Source organism: Homo sapiens, chromosome X (genome assembly GCF_000001405.40).
Source record: "Homo sapiens chromosome X, GRCh38.p14 Primary Assembly".
Taxonomy (NCBI): domain Eukaryota; kingdom Metazoa; phylum Chordata; class Mammalia; order Primates; family Hominidae; genus Homo; species Homo sapiens.
The window spans coordinates 78,028,328-78,044,558 of NC_000023.11; the positions used below are offsets into that span (position 1 = coordinate 78,028,328).

A 16,231-nucleotide genomic window follows, 5' to 3' on the forward strand; every position below is an offset into this window, starting at 1 on the left:
ACAGGCATGTGCCACCATGCCCAGCTAATTTTTGCATTTTTAATAGAGACGGGGTTTCACCATGTTGGCCAGGCAGGTCTCGGACTCCTGACCTCAGGTGATCCACCTGCCTTGGCCTCCCAAAGTGCTGGGATTACAGGCGTGAGCCACTGTGCCCGGCCATACCTGGCTAATTTTTCACAAATTTTTTTTGTAGAGATGAGGTCTTACCATGTTGCCCAGGGTGGTCTCAAACTCCTGGCCTCAAATGATCCTCCTGCCTTAGCCTCCAAAAGTACTGGGATTACAGATGTGAGCCCGTGCACAGACCAGCAAGTAGCTTGGAATGTGTTTCCTTCAGGAATTTTTCTCATGAGTTCAGGATGTCTTAGATTTCTTCTAAAACTACCAATTATATTTTTCCCACATGAGCAAACACTGAACGTCACTAAGAGCTTAATTAGCAGATATACTTGGTTCACATTGTTATGTCCAAAAGGATTTTGTTGAAATATGACTAAGGTCCCTTTGCATGCCATGTGATTCTTTTTCATTGTCTTTCAAGAATAGTGTGAAAGGCAGAATTATGGTTTTACTCTACAGAGATTGAGAATTCTGTTTATTCAGTATCAAATTTTTTGAAAATTATGTCTCACATTTGCAGCTATTTCTGAAAATTTCTAATAAAAACATTCATTCTCAATATGGAGCACTTATATTCAGTCCATAGTTTGTAATTCTGGAATCTCAGTATGTCCCAATTTCTTATATTCATAAAAGAAAGAAAGTGTTTTCTTACCTGTAACTAAAAAATATATGTAGGTAGCTAGGTAGGATATGTCACTTTTTAAATTGTGGTTTTATTTAAATAGTGTTAAGTTTTGTGTCTTTTGTTTTGTACAGCTCTAAATCAATAACCAAAATTTATGCCTTTCTTCTAAAGGGCTACAATAGAAGTATCTCCCGAACAGAAACGATAATACGATTTGCTTTCCAAGCCTCTATCACAGTTCTGTGTATTGCATGTCCCTGTTCACTGGGACTGGCCACTCCAACTGCTGTGATGGTGGGTACAGGAGTAGGTGCTCAAAATGGCATACTAATAAAAGGTGGAGAGCCATTGGAGATGGCTCATAAGGTAAGACAGTCCCCAGAACTAAAACCTGTACCACCAAACTATCAATAGCACCCCTCACATGTGAGAAACACATACTCCTAAATTATTTCTCTGTGGTCCATGAGCTGAGCTGCTTCTAGGACTATCCAGAGATTTGAGGTAGGAAAGGTGTTATTTTGGTTCTGCTTCAGATTGGCCTTTGTTACCTAAGATTCCTAAAACTACTCCAGGCCTATTTATTAGAGCAGACCCTAATGTGGAAAACCTGGACTCCTATCCTAGCTCAGACTAGACTAGTCTTTGTGGCAGAAAGACAGAATAGGTGTTTGCCCAGGAAAATTTGCCAAACTCCAGCAGCCTTCTAACCTATTTGTGTGTGACTTGTTTTCTTCACTGGGACCTTCAATTGCAGTGCCGTTTCTTTGCCTTTGCTGCCACCAGCCGACAGTTTGCAGCTATGACTTTAGGAATATAATCCTATCTCTGATCTCATATTAGGATTTCCATAATCATCTCAAAGCTACTTGACTTCAACTAAAACCATGTTTCTACTAGTATGTTCTTATTATGAGGATGTAAGCTATGTACAGAGGTATATAGTAAACATAGAACATATCTTAGAACAAATCTGGAAACTCACCTCGCCAGAGAATACAGGCTAGTAATTTTTATAGACATTTTAAACTTTGATATAATTTCAAACTTAAAAGTCGCAAGACTAGCCTGGCACAGTGGCTCACGCCTGTAATCCCAGCACTTTGGGAGGCTGAGGCAGGCGGACCACGAGGTCAGGAGTTTGAGACCAGCCTGACCAACATGGTGAAACCCCGTCTCTACTAAAAATACAAAAATTAGCTGGGCGAGTTGGCACACCTGTAATCCCAACTACTCAGGAGACTGAGGCAGGAGAATCGCTTGAGCCCGGAGGGCAGGGGTTGCAGTGAGCTGGGATCGCGCCACTGCACTCCAGCTTGGGCGACTGAGCAAGACTCCATCTCAAAAAAAAAAAAAAATGTTGCAAGACTAGTACAAAGAACTCCTATATGCCCTTTACTGCAGTCGTTGGGCTCTTTTCCTAAGAATAAGGACATTCTCTTATGTAAACTGTAGTACAACTATCAAAATCAATAAATTAATATTGATATGTTGTTATCTGATCTGTAGTCCATGTTCCAGTTTCCTCAGTTGTCTCAATAATGTGCTTTATAGCTATTTTTCCCCTGTCCAGAATCATACTTTGTTGGTTTATTTTTCTTTTCTTTCTTTCTTTCTTTTTTTTTTTTTTTGAGATGAAGTCTCGCTCTATGGCCCAGGCTGGAGTGCAGTGGTGCGATCTCGGCTCACTGCAACCTCCACCCACCAAGTTCCAGCGATTCTCCTGCCTCAGCCTCCCGAGTAGCTGGGATTACAGGCATGCACCACCATGCCCAGCTAACTTTTTATTATTAGTAGAGACGGGGTTTCACCATGTTGGCCAGGCTGGTCTCGATCTCCTGACCTCAGGTGATCCATACACCTCAGTCTCTGAAAGTGCTGGGATTATAGGCTTGAGCCACCGCACCTGGCCATTTACCTTTATTCTTATAATCATTTCCCTACTGCTTAGATTTCCTCATCAGATCTATAATTCATTATATTGAAAGCCTTTCTTTTTTACCTTGAGGCACTAGAGGCGTCTCTTAATTACCTATTAACAGTCAACCCTTAAAAATTAGCTCTAGTTGTTTAACATATATTCACAGTTATTTAGCATGAACAAACAGTTCAGCATTGGCAGAGGAGAGCTGTTGTGTATAACTAAGAGTATTTCTTCTTTTATTTTCCCGAAGACCATCAGTTTTTTAAGTCAAATTAAGTCAAAGGTCAGTTTACTAAGAAACTAAATAGTCATCTCTTTGTCAAAACAGACCTTTTTCTTATTTCTGGAAAGGTGATGTGGAGGATCATCAAGTCATTGTATCTTAATTTTTTTACAGGTAAAGGTAGTGGTATTTGATAAGACTGGAACCATTACTCACGGAACCCCAGTGGTGAATCAAGTAAAGGTTCTAACTGAAAGTAACAGAATATCACACCATAAAATCTTGGCCATTGTGGGAACTGCTGAAAGTAACAGTGAACACCCTCTAGGAACAGCCATAACCAAATATTGCAAACAGGTACATTTTTTTCCTCTTGTTTATTAGTGTAGTCATCTCCTGTAGGAATTCCCCGGATCAAATCTAGTCTGGTGTTTGACTGTGATTTGCATATATAGTTGGTATGAGGCTAAAAAGACTTGTATTTTCTCATTTAATTGTATGTAACTTATTTCTTCATACAGACAAGTATACAGATGAAAACAAATGAACTATAATCCTATCACACAGATAACTCCTGTTGACATAAAAAATTAAAATAGAAGTTATACATATTTGTGGTAGGACAATTCAGATAGTTCAGAGAATTACATAATGAAAATTGTAAACCTCATTCCCTGCCCCCTTCCATAATTCCTCTCTCCAAAGTTTAACAACTGTTAACCTATTAACAGTCTTTTAAAATGACAGCTTTATTGAGATATAATTCATATACTATAAAGTTCACCTTTTTAAAGTGTACAATTCAATAATTTTAGTATAGTCATAAAGGTGTGCATCTGTTAACCGTTTTTAATGCATATAGCCACATATACGTATTTATCATCTTTTAAACTTTATACAGAAAGGTCATACAATGATCAATCTTTGTTACCTTGCTTTTTTATTTTATTAAGTGAATTTTCCTGTCAGGAAATGCAGATCTGCCTCATTGTTTTTAATGGCTGTATTATACTCTATAGTGTGAGTGTTTGTTTTTTTTTGACTTTTGCAGTATATACTCAACATCCTTATCAGTTTTTGCAAGTCTGTCTCTACATTAAATGCCTATCAATGCAATTGCTAAGTCAAAGGATGCATGCAGTTAAATTTTGATGAATGCTACCAATACCCATATGATGAATATTACCAATATACATGAGGGGTTATACCAATTTATACCTGCACCAAAAGTTATGAGTGCTCATTTCCCCACATTCTTACCAACGCTTTATTTTTATTTTCTCAATTTAATAGGTGAAAAAATATTTACTTGATGGTTTGCTTTGCATTTCCTTAATTATGAATAAGGTTGAGCATCTTTTTATATATGTATTGACCATTTGAATTTCTTTTCCTCTAACCTGTTTGTATCTATGACCTATTTTTCCACAGAGTTGTTTGTCTTTTTCTTATTCATTTGCATGAGTTCTTTATGAATTGTCTCACATTAATTTTACACTTAAAACGTGGCAGTTTCTACCATTGGTGTTGCCATTTATTTATTTGTTCTTTCTCTTTTACCTATTACCTATTACTGACCTGGCTTCCTTACACCCAAATCAAACAGCAGAGAGGATGAAGCTATAAAAAGCTAGGAAACAATGAGGGCCCCCAGAACTTTTCGGCTTGCTAAAGATGTAGACTATAGAGCAGATGGAGAGCCTCCGGTAACTAAAGGCCCTATACTTTGTTACTCTTTGCCCTGTACTGAGTAGAAAACCTGACTTGACTATGGAGTTAAAAATTTAATTTGTAATTATCTACTGGAAAGAGCAGAGAATACTGATAAGCTTTCCATGTTTTCTATAAATTTTAGAGAGTGGGATTAAAACAAAGATTTTTTTTTATTATTGTTTTTGAGACAGAGTCTCACTCTGTCACCCAGGCTGGAGTGCAATAGCGCAATCTCAACTCACTGCAACTTCCGTCTCCTGAGTTCAAGTGATTCTCCTACCTCAGCCTCCCTAGTAGCTGAGATTACAGGTGTGCACCACCACACCTGGCTAAATTTTTTTGCACTTTTAGTAGAGACAGGGTTTCACCATTTTGGCCAGCCTGGTCCCTCTGCCCACCTCGGCTTCCCAGCCGGCTTCTTCAGCTGGGATTACAGGCATGAGCCACTGTGCCTGGTCAAAACAAAGACTTTGAGGCTCTTCTGTAACTTTGAATGTTATGTTTGATGCTCTATTCCTTTGTCCTTATCAAAATCCACTGTCAAGTAGGCAATATGTGACAATTTTATTATAAACATTTAGAATTAACTAGGGGTTTTTATCTTGCTAATGAATGACCTTGCATTATCAGAACAGTAGAGGAAATCCTTTTGTTTCTGTTTGTTAGGAGCTGGACACTGAAACCTTGGGTACCTGCATAGATTTCCAGGTTGTGCCAGGCTGTGGTATTAGCTGTAAAGTCACCAATATTGAAGGCTTGCTACATAAGAATAACTGGAATATAGAGGACAATAATATTAAAAATGCATCCCTGGTTCAAATTGATGCCAGTAATGAACAGTCATCAACTTCGTCTTCCATGATTATTGATGCCCAGATCTCAAGTAAGCTAATTTTCTTTGTAGTACCAATTATGGGGCAGTTATGAACAGATGGCTAACTTTATAACCCTGAACTGTTATAGAAGAAACAAAAATTGGCATCATAATTTCATTTCCTCAAGTCAATACCCTATGCCTTCTGATCATTTAAATTAGTCAAGAATATTTCCCAACTGTGGTCATTGACACCACCATAGGGTGATGAGGTCTAGCCTTAGCTGATCATCCATGATCATTCTTTTGTCACTACAACTACTCCAAACCTTTTCTATCTTTCACAAGATCCTGTGACTCTCTCCTTTGTCCCTCTGCAAATTATCTTATTTTTTATATAGAAAATTATGGTTCTTGGGCATGTGTTCTTACATATTTTTGCCCAGAATCATTCCTTTTTTCAGGGAAAGCAGTATCCTTCATCTTGCCTAATGAATCCCTTCATCTAGATCCCACCCTCTCTTGATTCATCAGGGACCTCCCTCTTTCTGTTAGGTCCCCTTGCTGCTTTATTTTTCATCTCTTTCTGTTTTAGCTTCTTTTCTTAAACATATAAACATTTCTTCCATCAAAATCACTATATTCCCATCTAGATTTTGTCCTTTCCCATCTATATTCCCATATAGATTCTGTCTTTTTCTTTTATATCCAAGTTCTAGAAATGGTAATCTAGGTTTGTTGAATTCACTTACTCCACAGTCATGCCTCAGTTCATTGCAGTCTGGCTTCTCCCCCATCCATACTACTGAATCCGTTCTTTCTAAGTTAACTGATGACCATTGACCTCACTGCTCTCTCCAGTGGTCACTTTTCAGTCCTCATCCTGCAAGACCTCATTAAGATATTTGACAATGTTGACCATCCCTTCCTTCCTAAAGGATGATTCCATGACCCTGCTTTGTCTAGATTCTCCTCTCACCTCCCTGGCTGTTCCTTTTTTTTTTTTTTTGAGAAGGAGTCTTGCTCTGTCACCCAGGCTGGAGTGCAGTGGTGCAATCTCAGCTCACTGCAACCTCTGCCTCCTGGGTTCAAGCAATTCTCCTGCCTCAGCCCCCAGGAAGCTGGGATTACAGGTGTGCGCAGCCATGCCTGGCTAATTTTTTGTATTTTTAGTAGAGATGGGGTTTCACCATGTTAGCCAGGATGGTCTCAAACTCCTGACCTCAAGTGATCCACCCACCTCAGCCTCTCAAAGTGCTGGGATTACAGGTGTGAGCCACTGCACCCCTGGCTGTTCCTTTTAATTGTCCTTTGGTTCCTCATTTCTCTTGCTTTCAAATGTCGTATGTCGTCAGGGTTTTGTTCTTTGTCTTTTTCTCATTTTATAATACATACTCTCTCTGTACAATCTTATTCATGCTCATCACTTAGTCTACCACCCACAGACTTCCACTACCGCTCTAAAATCCATATCTTTAGCTAAGTCCTGTTTCCTTGGCTCCATGCCGATCTATCTATCTGCCCCCAAAACATGATCTACCCACCTAAGTGTTCCAACACCTCCCTCCCGATTTGTGCCTGAGTGATTTTGCTAACATGGAAATCTAGTCGTGTCACTCTCTAACCAGTACCTTTTATTACAGTGTTTTATAAGCTGTTTTTGAGCCATAGACCTTTGGAGGAATATGATGAAAGCTATGGGCCCACCCCTCAGAAAATTTTTGTTTCAAGAGATGCACATGTATCCTGAAACCCATCCACGGGTCTCTGTTAAGGATCCCAGCTTTAATGGGTCTCTCTCTCCTATGGGACAAAGTCCAGTCTCTCTGGACTTTGTTTTAGATCTGTTCCCCATGATATGTCTCCTGCCTCCCTGCATCACTCATCTTCTTTTTCCACTACCGCATATGTACTCCATGTTCCATCCCTACCTAACTACTTACAGTTCTTCCTTACGGTGTGTCATTTCCTTATTAGATCATTTCATTTACCATTTTCTCTATGTAATGTTCTTGTTCACAAATGGCATCTATCTCGTGAACTTACGCTTATCTTTCAAGACCCAGCTTATATCTCTCTCTTCAGTGACACCCTCATTGACTGACATATATTGACAGAGGTATTTGCTCTTCTTCCTGAATCATAACTGTACTTAATCTCTGTTACTGTACTAGGACAGTGTATGATAATTATATATTTACCTGCCTGTTTCTACTAGTCTGTGACTTCTTTATTATTTGTCTATGAACTTCTAGTATCAAGCACAGTGACAAATAGGAAATTCATTTGACAGCTTTTATTGAGCACCTACTGTGTGTCATGCACTGTTCAAGGCACTAAAGAATCGGCAGTAAACAAGATAAACTAAGTTCTTATTTCATGGAGCTTACATTCTTGGTGGAAGAACACAAGAGAGTGAGCAAATAAGAAAATACAATAATTCCAATGGAGATAGTGCTGTGGAGGAAAATTAAGTGGGGCAAGGGGCATAGGGGTGCTGGGAGTAGTGGGTTCTGTTTCATATAGGGTGATCAGGGTAGGCCTCACTGAGAAGGTAGTGTTTGAACGAAGATCTGAGGGGATGAGAGAAAAAGCTATGTGGATTTCTGTGGCAAACACGTTCTAGGCAGGAGAAATAGTAAGTACCAAAGCCTTTAGTCAGGAGTGTGCTTGACTTGTTTGAGGAATGGCAAGGAGAACAGTGTGGCAAGCGCAGAGTAAATGGATGGGCAAGGGGTATAAGACAAGGTCAGAGAGGTGGTTTGGGACTAGATATGTAAGGACAAAACCAATATGACAGTTTTGAGTAGAGGAGGGACAAAATCTGACTTAACATTTTAAAAGTAAACCGGGCGCGGTGACTCACGCCTGTAATCCCAGCACTTTGGGAGGCTGAGGCGGGTGGATCACTTCAGGTCAGGAGTTCGAGACCAGCCTGGCCAACATGGTGAAACCCTGTGTCTACTAAAAATACAGAAATTAGTCGGGCGTGGTAGCAGGCACCTGTAATCCCAGCTACTCGGGAGGCTGAGGCAGGAGAGAATCTTGCGGGGATTCGGGGCAAGGGCAGAAGCAGGGAGATGAGTTGGTGGACATTGTCATAATCGAGGTGAAACATAATGGTAGCTTGGACCAGTATAGCAGAGGTTGTAAGAAATGATAGAATTCTAGATGTGTCTTAAAAGGAGAGTCACAGATTTTTCTCATGGGTTGGATATATATGGCGTATGAGACAAACAGGAGTCAAGAATTATGCCAAGGTTTGTGGCCTAAGCAGTTAGAAGGATGGAGTTATCATTTAAATAAGATGGGGGATCCCACAGGAGGGACGGTATTGGGAAAAAGATCAGGAGTTCAGTTTTGTACATGTTAAGTTTGAGTACCTATTAGAGATATCCCAAGTGGTGATATCATATAAATGGAAATATGAAGTAAGCAGTTGGCTACATAAGTTTGGAATTCCAGGAAACAGACTGAATCAGAGAGATGGATTTGGGAGTCCTCTGCTTATAGATCTGTGGTGTCTAGGAAAATAGCCACTAATTATATGTGACTCTTTAAATTAGTTAATTTACATTTAATTTAATTTAAAATTCATCTTTCAGTCATACTAGCCACATTTCAGTGCTCAATAGCCACATCTGTGTGTTAGTGGCTATTGTATTAAACATAGCAGATATAGAACATTTCTAATATCACAGAAAGTTCTCTTGGACTGCAGTGGTATAGATGGTATTTAAAGCCATGAGACTGGATAAGAACCCCAAGGAGTGAGAGTAGATAAAGGGAAAGAGAGAGTTAAGTACTGAATCCTGCAGCACTATAAATTAAGAAGTTAGGGAGATGAGGAGGGATGGGCAAAGAAGGCCAAGAAGTGGCCAATTAGGAGGTAACCCCTAAGAATGTGGTATCCTAGAAGCCAAATGAAGAACGTATTTCCAGGAGGGAGTGAACAGCTGTGTTAAATTCTGCTAATAGGACAAGTAAGATGAGGAATGAGAATTAACTATTAGGATTATTAAAGTAAAGGTCACTGGCTGTAATAATTCACTGGAGTATTAGAGTCAAAAGCATAAAGCTTTTGACTACCCCAATAAATGGGGTAGGTTCACAAGAACATGGGAAGATATGAATTGGAGACAGCCAATAGAGATACTTTTGGAAAGTTTTGCTATGTACAGAAGCAGATAAATGTGGTAGCTAGAGAGGTGGGTGAGATCAAGAAAGGTTTTTTTTTTTTTTTTTTTTTTTTTTAAGATAGGACAATGTACAGCAGAGAAAAGTTGTGCAGGAGTGGGCGGGGAGAATTGTTGGGTTGGAGAGATGTTCTAGAATAGGCAAAGGAGCGGGGGTGTCTAGTGCACAAGTAGAAAGGTTGGCCTTAAATTAGGAGCAGAATCAGTTTATAATAACAGAAGGGAAGCTAGATACACAGACACAGGAGGCACAGGTAGTTGAGTGGATGCGGCAATGAGAGCTGTGGAAGTTCTTTTCTGATTGCTTCTATTTTCTTTCTGAAGTAGGAAGCAGAGTCATCATATGGTATTAGGATGGGGCAGGAGAAGTTGGAGATTTGAAGGGAGATGAGAAGGTATGAAATAGCCACCTAGAAGAAATGGAGAATGAATGGACTAGGGAAATATAGTTAAGTTGCCAGATAGCACTAAGAGCCCACTTAAAGAAAATGAGATGTCAGCATGATTGTACATGTTCATCTAGCCACATTCAGCTACTGATGCACAGTAAGTATTTTTAAATTTGATTGAATTTTTATGGAAGGTCAAAGGGAAAGCCTCACCAAGAAAGTAATATTTGAACTGGCTCTTGAAGAATGTGATTGAGTTTGCTGTCTGGAGAGGAGGGATAAGGACATTTCAGATGAAGGCAGCAATGTGTGCAAAGGCCCAGAGGCATGGAAGAACAGAGTATGTTCTTAGAAAATTTGAACATCACTGTTGGAGGCTATGTTCTAGGAGCAATACAATGTAGTGACTGTGCAAGGTTAGACAGGAAGAACTTGCTTCATGGGGTTTTATAAAGATTAATTGAACTTACTAAATGTTATTTCTGTGCCTACTTTCAGATGCTCTTAATGCTCAGCAGTATAAAGTCCTCATTGGTAACCGGGAGTGGATGATTAGAAATGGTCTTGTCATTAATAACGATGTAAATGATTTCATGACTGAACATGAGAGAAAAGGTCGGACTGCTGTATTAGTAGCAGTTGATGGTAAGGTTTTCCATAAGTATGCTATAACTCAATGTTTTGTTATTGTTTTATTAATTTATTTATTTTTGAGAGACCTCTGAACTATGAGGGTTATTCAAAAGCATCTTGAATGCAAAATGAAAATGTCAACAACACATGATTATTACTGATTAATTTAAAATTCTCTCGCATTTGCCTGCCTTTGTTACTTTCTTCCCTAGCCTATGTTTTAAATGAAGGCTAATCAAGGATTTTTTAAAACCTAAAAATAGCAACAGTAAAATAATAGCAAAGTAAAATAATATTCGTAATCCCATCATCCTAACACAATGTCAGGTTTTTTTTGTTTGTTTCTTTGTTTTGTTTTTGTTCTTGTTTTTGTTTTTTTTGAGACGGAGTTTCTCTCTTGTTGCCCAAACTGGAGTGCAATGATGTGATTCGGCTCACTGCAACCTCCGCCTCCTGGGTTCAAGCGATTCTCCTGCCTCAGCCTCCCAAGTAGCTGGGATTACAGGCGCGCACCACCATGCCCGGCTAATTGTTTGTATTTTTAGTGGAAATGGGGTTTCACCATCTTGGCCAGGCTGGTCTTGAACTCCTGACCTCAGGTGATCCACCCACTTCGGCCTCCCAAAGTGCTGGGATTACAGGCGTGAGCCACCATGCCCAGCCCACAACGTCAGTTTTAATTTTGTATATTCCATTCCTAGTTTTCTTGAAATGTGTGTGTGTTTGCAGAATTACAGTATTAGTACATATACCATTTTTTACTGGGTACATTTTATCGTAAGTAAATTTTACCTCAATAAAGTTAAAATCACTTGTACACATACTATTTTATTATGCTTTATTTTACTTAATGCTTTCTAATGTTGCTATATAATTTTACTATAATACTGCATAATTTATCAATCTTACACACTATAATCATTCCCCTCTTGTTGGAAATTTAGGCTATTCCTAATATTTCACTATTGTAAATGACACTACAATAAATATCTTTGAGGTTGTATGTGCTTTATTTTGTTATTTCTTAGGGTAAATTTCTAGTTGTGAGATTAATTCCACTCTACATTTATAATGTCTGCTAAGTATGAAGGCAGTCTTTTACTATGGCCTTTTTAGGTCTGGGAAGAAGCAGAGAATACCATTTTACTTTTGTTTTGTAAATAGAATAAAATAATAAGATTTATGGTAATATTTTTCCCACTATAAAGTGCCCATTTTGTCTCTCTCTGCCCCCCCCCCCTTACCTTAAAAAGAAAAAAAGTATTAATCTTCAGTTTCATTTGCCTATAAATTAGATAAAGTGTTTGAGGCTGTTGGCAAATACCTTTCTGAGGAACAAAAAGGGTCTTCTAATATCCAGTAAGGTCTCTCTTTTTATTTTCCTGTGATTACTTTATTAGTAACCCCTACCTCACTCTGAAATTTTCATAACCAAATATGGAGGCTTGTTACAGAGTTTGTAGTATAAAGTCTGTGTGGGCTTAGAGATATTTTAAGTTAAGCCATGCCCTGAACAACTTTACTTGAGAAAATTCATTTCATTCTGAAATTTCAAGTCAAAATGTTATTCTCCTTTCACTATATTCCAAGTTCTTTTATTTTGTGCTGCCCCTATATTAGATGAGCTGTGTGGCTTGATAGCCATTGCAGACACAGTGAAGCCTGAAGCAGAACTGGCTATCCATATTCTGAAATCTATGGGCTTAGAAGTAGTTCTGATGACTGGAGACAACAGTAAAACAGCTAGATCTATTGCTTCTCAGGTAATTGATAGGGGTATGTGATAACTTCTAATTATTGATATACATTTTATATCTTGCCTTCAAATGCTAAGAAATTTACATTACCTACTATTTTCATTATCACTGAGTAGTCCTATCTGGTTCCTTCAAGAAAATTTACCATGCTTTGCTGGAAAGACTTTGGGCTTTGTGTGTTGCTGTTATACGTAAAAAGGTATTTGCTTAGTTCATGGGATGCTTGCGTGACACTGTACACCAATTTCTGTTGATGTGCCCTTTGAAATGTTGCTCATATTCTTTACCAGTGCTGCCAACCTAAGCTGGGCTCTCCTGATCTCATGCCTGAAACACAGCAATAGCTCCACACACATCCCTCTCTAGTCCATCCTAAATACCACCACCAATGGAACTATTTTCCTAATGCACCACTTTGACATACCATTTTTCTGCTCCTGACTCCCACATCTGCCTTATCTCTAAAATTTTTCAATCTTTTTAACTTTGGAATGCCTTCTCCCCTCTTCTAATAAATAATGCAAGTAATCTTTTAATACATTCTTTTGTTTCTTTTTTTTTTCTTGGGACGGAGTTTCGCTCTTGTTGCCCAGGCTGAAGTGCAGTGGCGCGATCTCGGCTCATCGCAACCTCCACCTCCTGGGTTCAAGCGATTCTCTTGCCTCAGCCTCCCGAGTAGCTAGGATTACATGCATACACCACCACGCCCGGCTAATTTTGTATTTTTAGTAGAGACAGGGTTTCTCCATGTTGGTCAAGCTGGTCGTGAACTTCGGACCTCAGGTGATCCGCCCGCCTCGGCCTCCCAAAGTGCTGGGATTACACGTGTGAGCCACCGCACCCGGCCTATTAACACCTTCTTATGTAAAAAATACAGAAGGATATAAAGTAAAAATGTCCTCTTTTCCCCATGCTCCCCATTCAGTCCTACTGCCCCTCACACTGCCACTTTTTCATATGCATATATGTGCATATACAGAGTACATATACAGTATAATTCTGGTCTTTTCAACATCAGATCATTTTGAACAGATTGTTCAGTAGTTTGCTTTTTTTACGTAACAGTATACTTTGGAGCTTCATCCATATCTGAACATAAAGTTATTTTGGCCGGGTTTGTTGGCTCACGCCTGTAATCCCAGCACTTTGGGAGGCTGAAGTGGGCAGATCACATGAGGTCGGGAGTTTGAGACCAGCCTGGCCAGCATGGTGAAACCTTGTCTCTACTAAAAATACAAAAATTAGCCGGGTGTGGTGGCGCATGCCTGTAATCCCAGCTACTCAGGAGGCTGAGGCAGGAGAATCGCTTGAACCAGGAGGCGGAGGTTGCAGTGAGCCGAGATGGTACCATTGCACTCCAGCCTGGGTGACAGAGCAAGACTCTGTCTCAAAAAAAAAAAAAAAAAAAAGTTACAAAGTTACTTTATTCTTTCTATACTGAATTCCATGGTATGGATGTATCATAATTTATTTAACCATTTCCCTAATGATGGACATTTGGGTGGTTTTGAAAATTTTCTTTTTGCAAACAAGGCAATAATAAACATCTTTGGACATGTATCTTTCTGTACATGTGCAAGCCTGTCCAAGATAGAGCTAGACATGGAATTGCTAGACCAAATGATGCTCACATTTTGATAGATGCTGCCAGATGCCCTCCAAAAAGAGTTACAATTTACACACCAGCCACTGGTGTATAAGAGAGCTCATTTCTCCACATCCTTGCTATCACTAGATATTATCAGTCTTTTAAAATGTGGACATCTTGTGGGTGAAAACTGATGGCTTGTTATTGCTCAGTTATGTTTCACGTACTCATTATTTTTTAAATGAATTGAGTTTATTTTCATCACATAGGTTGGCATTACTAAGGTGTTTGCTGAAGTTCTACCTTCTCACAAGGTTGCTAAAGTGAAGCAACTTCAAGAGGAGGGGAAACGGGTAGCAATGGTGGGAGATGGAATCAATGACTCCCCAGCTCTGGCAATGGCTAATGTGGGAATTGCTATTGGCACAGGCACAGATGTAGCCATTGAAGCAGCTGATGTGGTTTTGATAAGGGTAAGTGCCATGGCTTGACCTTTGAGGAGTATGAGACTGCCCTATGTGGTCAATGATAATGTCATAAAGTATATTGAGCATAACAATTCTGTCTTAAGTTCCATGCTATCAGCCATTAAGAGTTTAAGAATATGGAGTGGGATTATGGGAAGTCATGCTAATTTACCCCCTGACTTTCTCAACCCAGCTCATAAGCAAGTGAGAATTATAAGTTTCTGAAGTGAAGAAGAAGATTTAAGAATGGATTCGGAATAAAATGATCTTCAACAAATAGTTGCTGAGATTATTTTAAGTAGATTTAATCATAGTACCAGCATACACCCCTAAAAGTGTTTTCAGAACCCTGAGGAAAATTTTTGAAAAACACCTTCGGAAGCTGAGTCTAAGTTTTAGCATTATCTGAGATTTGTAATTAATTCACATATTACCCTAAGGTAGACGTAATCTTCAACATACACAGTATCAAATGTAAAAGTTACTGGTTAAGTTAGAGTCTCTTACTAATATCACAAATATTTCTGTTCTTAGAATGATCTTCTGGATGTAGTGGCAAGTATTGACTTATCAAGAAAGACAGTCAAGAGGATTCGGATAAATTTTGTCTTTGCTCTAATTTATAATCTGGTTGGAATTCCCATAGCTGCTGGTATGTGACTCTTAACTAGTACTGCTTTTTCCACTAAAGTTATTAGAGACCTAACATATTGGAAGCCTGTCTTCTTACTATTAGTTTTGAGCTTAGTTTTTGTTTGTAGCCTACTGGTATGGTGAGAGGTAATGTTAAAATCAATCATTTTAATTTTCAGTAATGTTTGTTATAGCTTAAGAATATATAAGCATTCTGACAGATTTATTTTTTTCCCTCCAACTTTTTTTTTTTTTTTTTTGAGACAGAGTCTCACTCTGTTGCCCAGGCTGGAGTGCAGTCATACAATCTCGGCTCACTGCAGCCTCCATCTCCTGGGTTCAAGCAGTTCTCCTGCCTCAGCCTCCTGAGTAACTGGGACTATAGGTGCCCGCCACAACGCCCAACTAATTTTTGTATTTTTAGTATAGACGGGGTTTCTCCATGTTGGCCAGGCTGGTCTCGAACTCCTGACTTCAGGTAATCCACCCACCTCGGCCTCCCAAAGTGTTGGGATTACAGCTGTGAGCCACCACTCCCAGCCTTCAACTTTGTATTTTGAAAAATTTCAAACTTGACACCTGTAATCCCAGCACTTTGGGAGGCTGAGGTGGGCGGATCACCTGAGGTTGGGAGTTCAAGACCAGCCTGACCAACATGGAGAAACCCCGTCTCTACTAAAAATACAAAATTAGCCGGGCGTGGTGGCACATGCATGTAATCCCAGCTACTCGGGAGACGGAGGCAGTAGACTCGCTTGAACCCAAGAGGTGGAGGTTGTGGTGAGCCAAGATCGCGCCATCGCACTTCAGCCTGGGCAACAAGAGCGAAACTCCGTCTCCAAAAAAAAAAAAAAAAAAAATTCATACCTCCAAAAACATTGAAAAAAATGGTACAATAAAAATCTGTATGCCTTTCACCTAAACTCACCAACTGATGGTATTTTGCCACATTGCTTCATCTCTTTCTGCATATATTTGCACAGAGATATGTATTTGTTTGCTTATTAATTTTTTTCTAAATAGATTTACCTTTAATCTGACTACCCAAACCCAACACTGTTTGCAAGATTAATTCATGGAGCAAATGATTTTTAAAGAATTATACAAGTATTTTCCTCTAGTCTTTTTTTTACTCTACATCAG

At 39.2% G+C, this 16,231-nt stretch overlaps 1 protein-coding gene across 3 annotated transcripts in view; it reads left to right on the forward strand.

The window, feature by feature from the left end:
• The window catches only part of ATP7A (ATPase copper transporting alpha), a 139,703-nt gene that overhangs the window by 117,635 nt on the left and 5,837 nt on the right, over positions 1-16,231 (forward strand). For 2 of the 3 annotated variants that reach the window (NM_000052.7, NM_001282224.2), the window contains 7 exons: positions 923-1,117; positions 3,073-3,255; positions 5,278-5,494; positions 10,509-10,655; positions 12,264-12,406; positions 14,258-14,461; positions 14,990-15,107. In NM_000052.7, coding sequence (NP_000043.4) covers positions 923-1,117; positions 3,073-3,255; positions 5,278-5,494; positions 10,509-10,655; positions 12,264-12,406; positions 14,258-14,461; positions 14,990-15,107 — 1,207 coding nt within the window. The remainder of the gene's footprint in view (positions 1-922; positions 1,118-3,072; positions 3,256-5,277; positions 5,495-10,508; positions 10,656-12,263; positions 12,407-14,257; positions 14,462-14,989; positions 15,108-16,231) is intronic. The other variant, NR_104109.2, reaches the window with a different exon arrangement.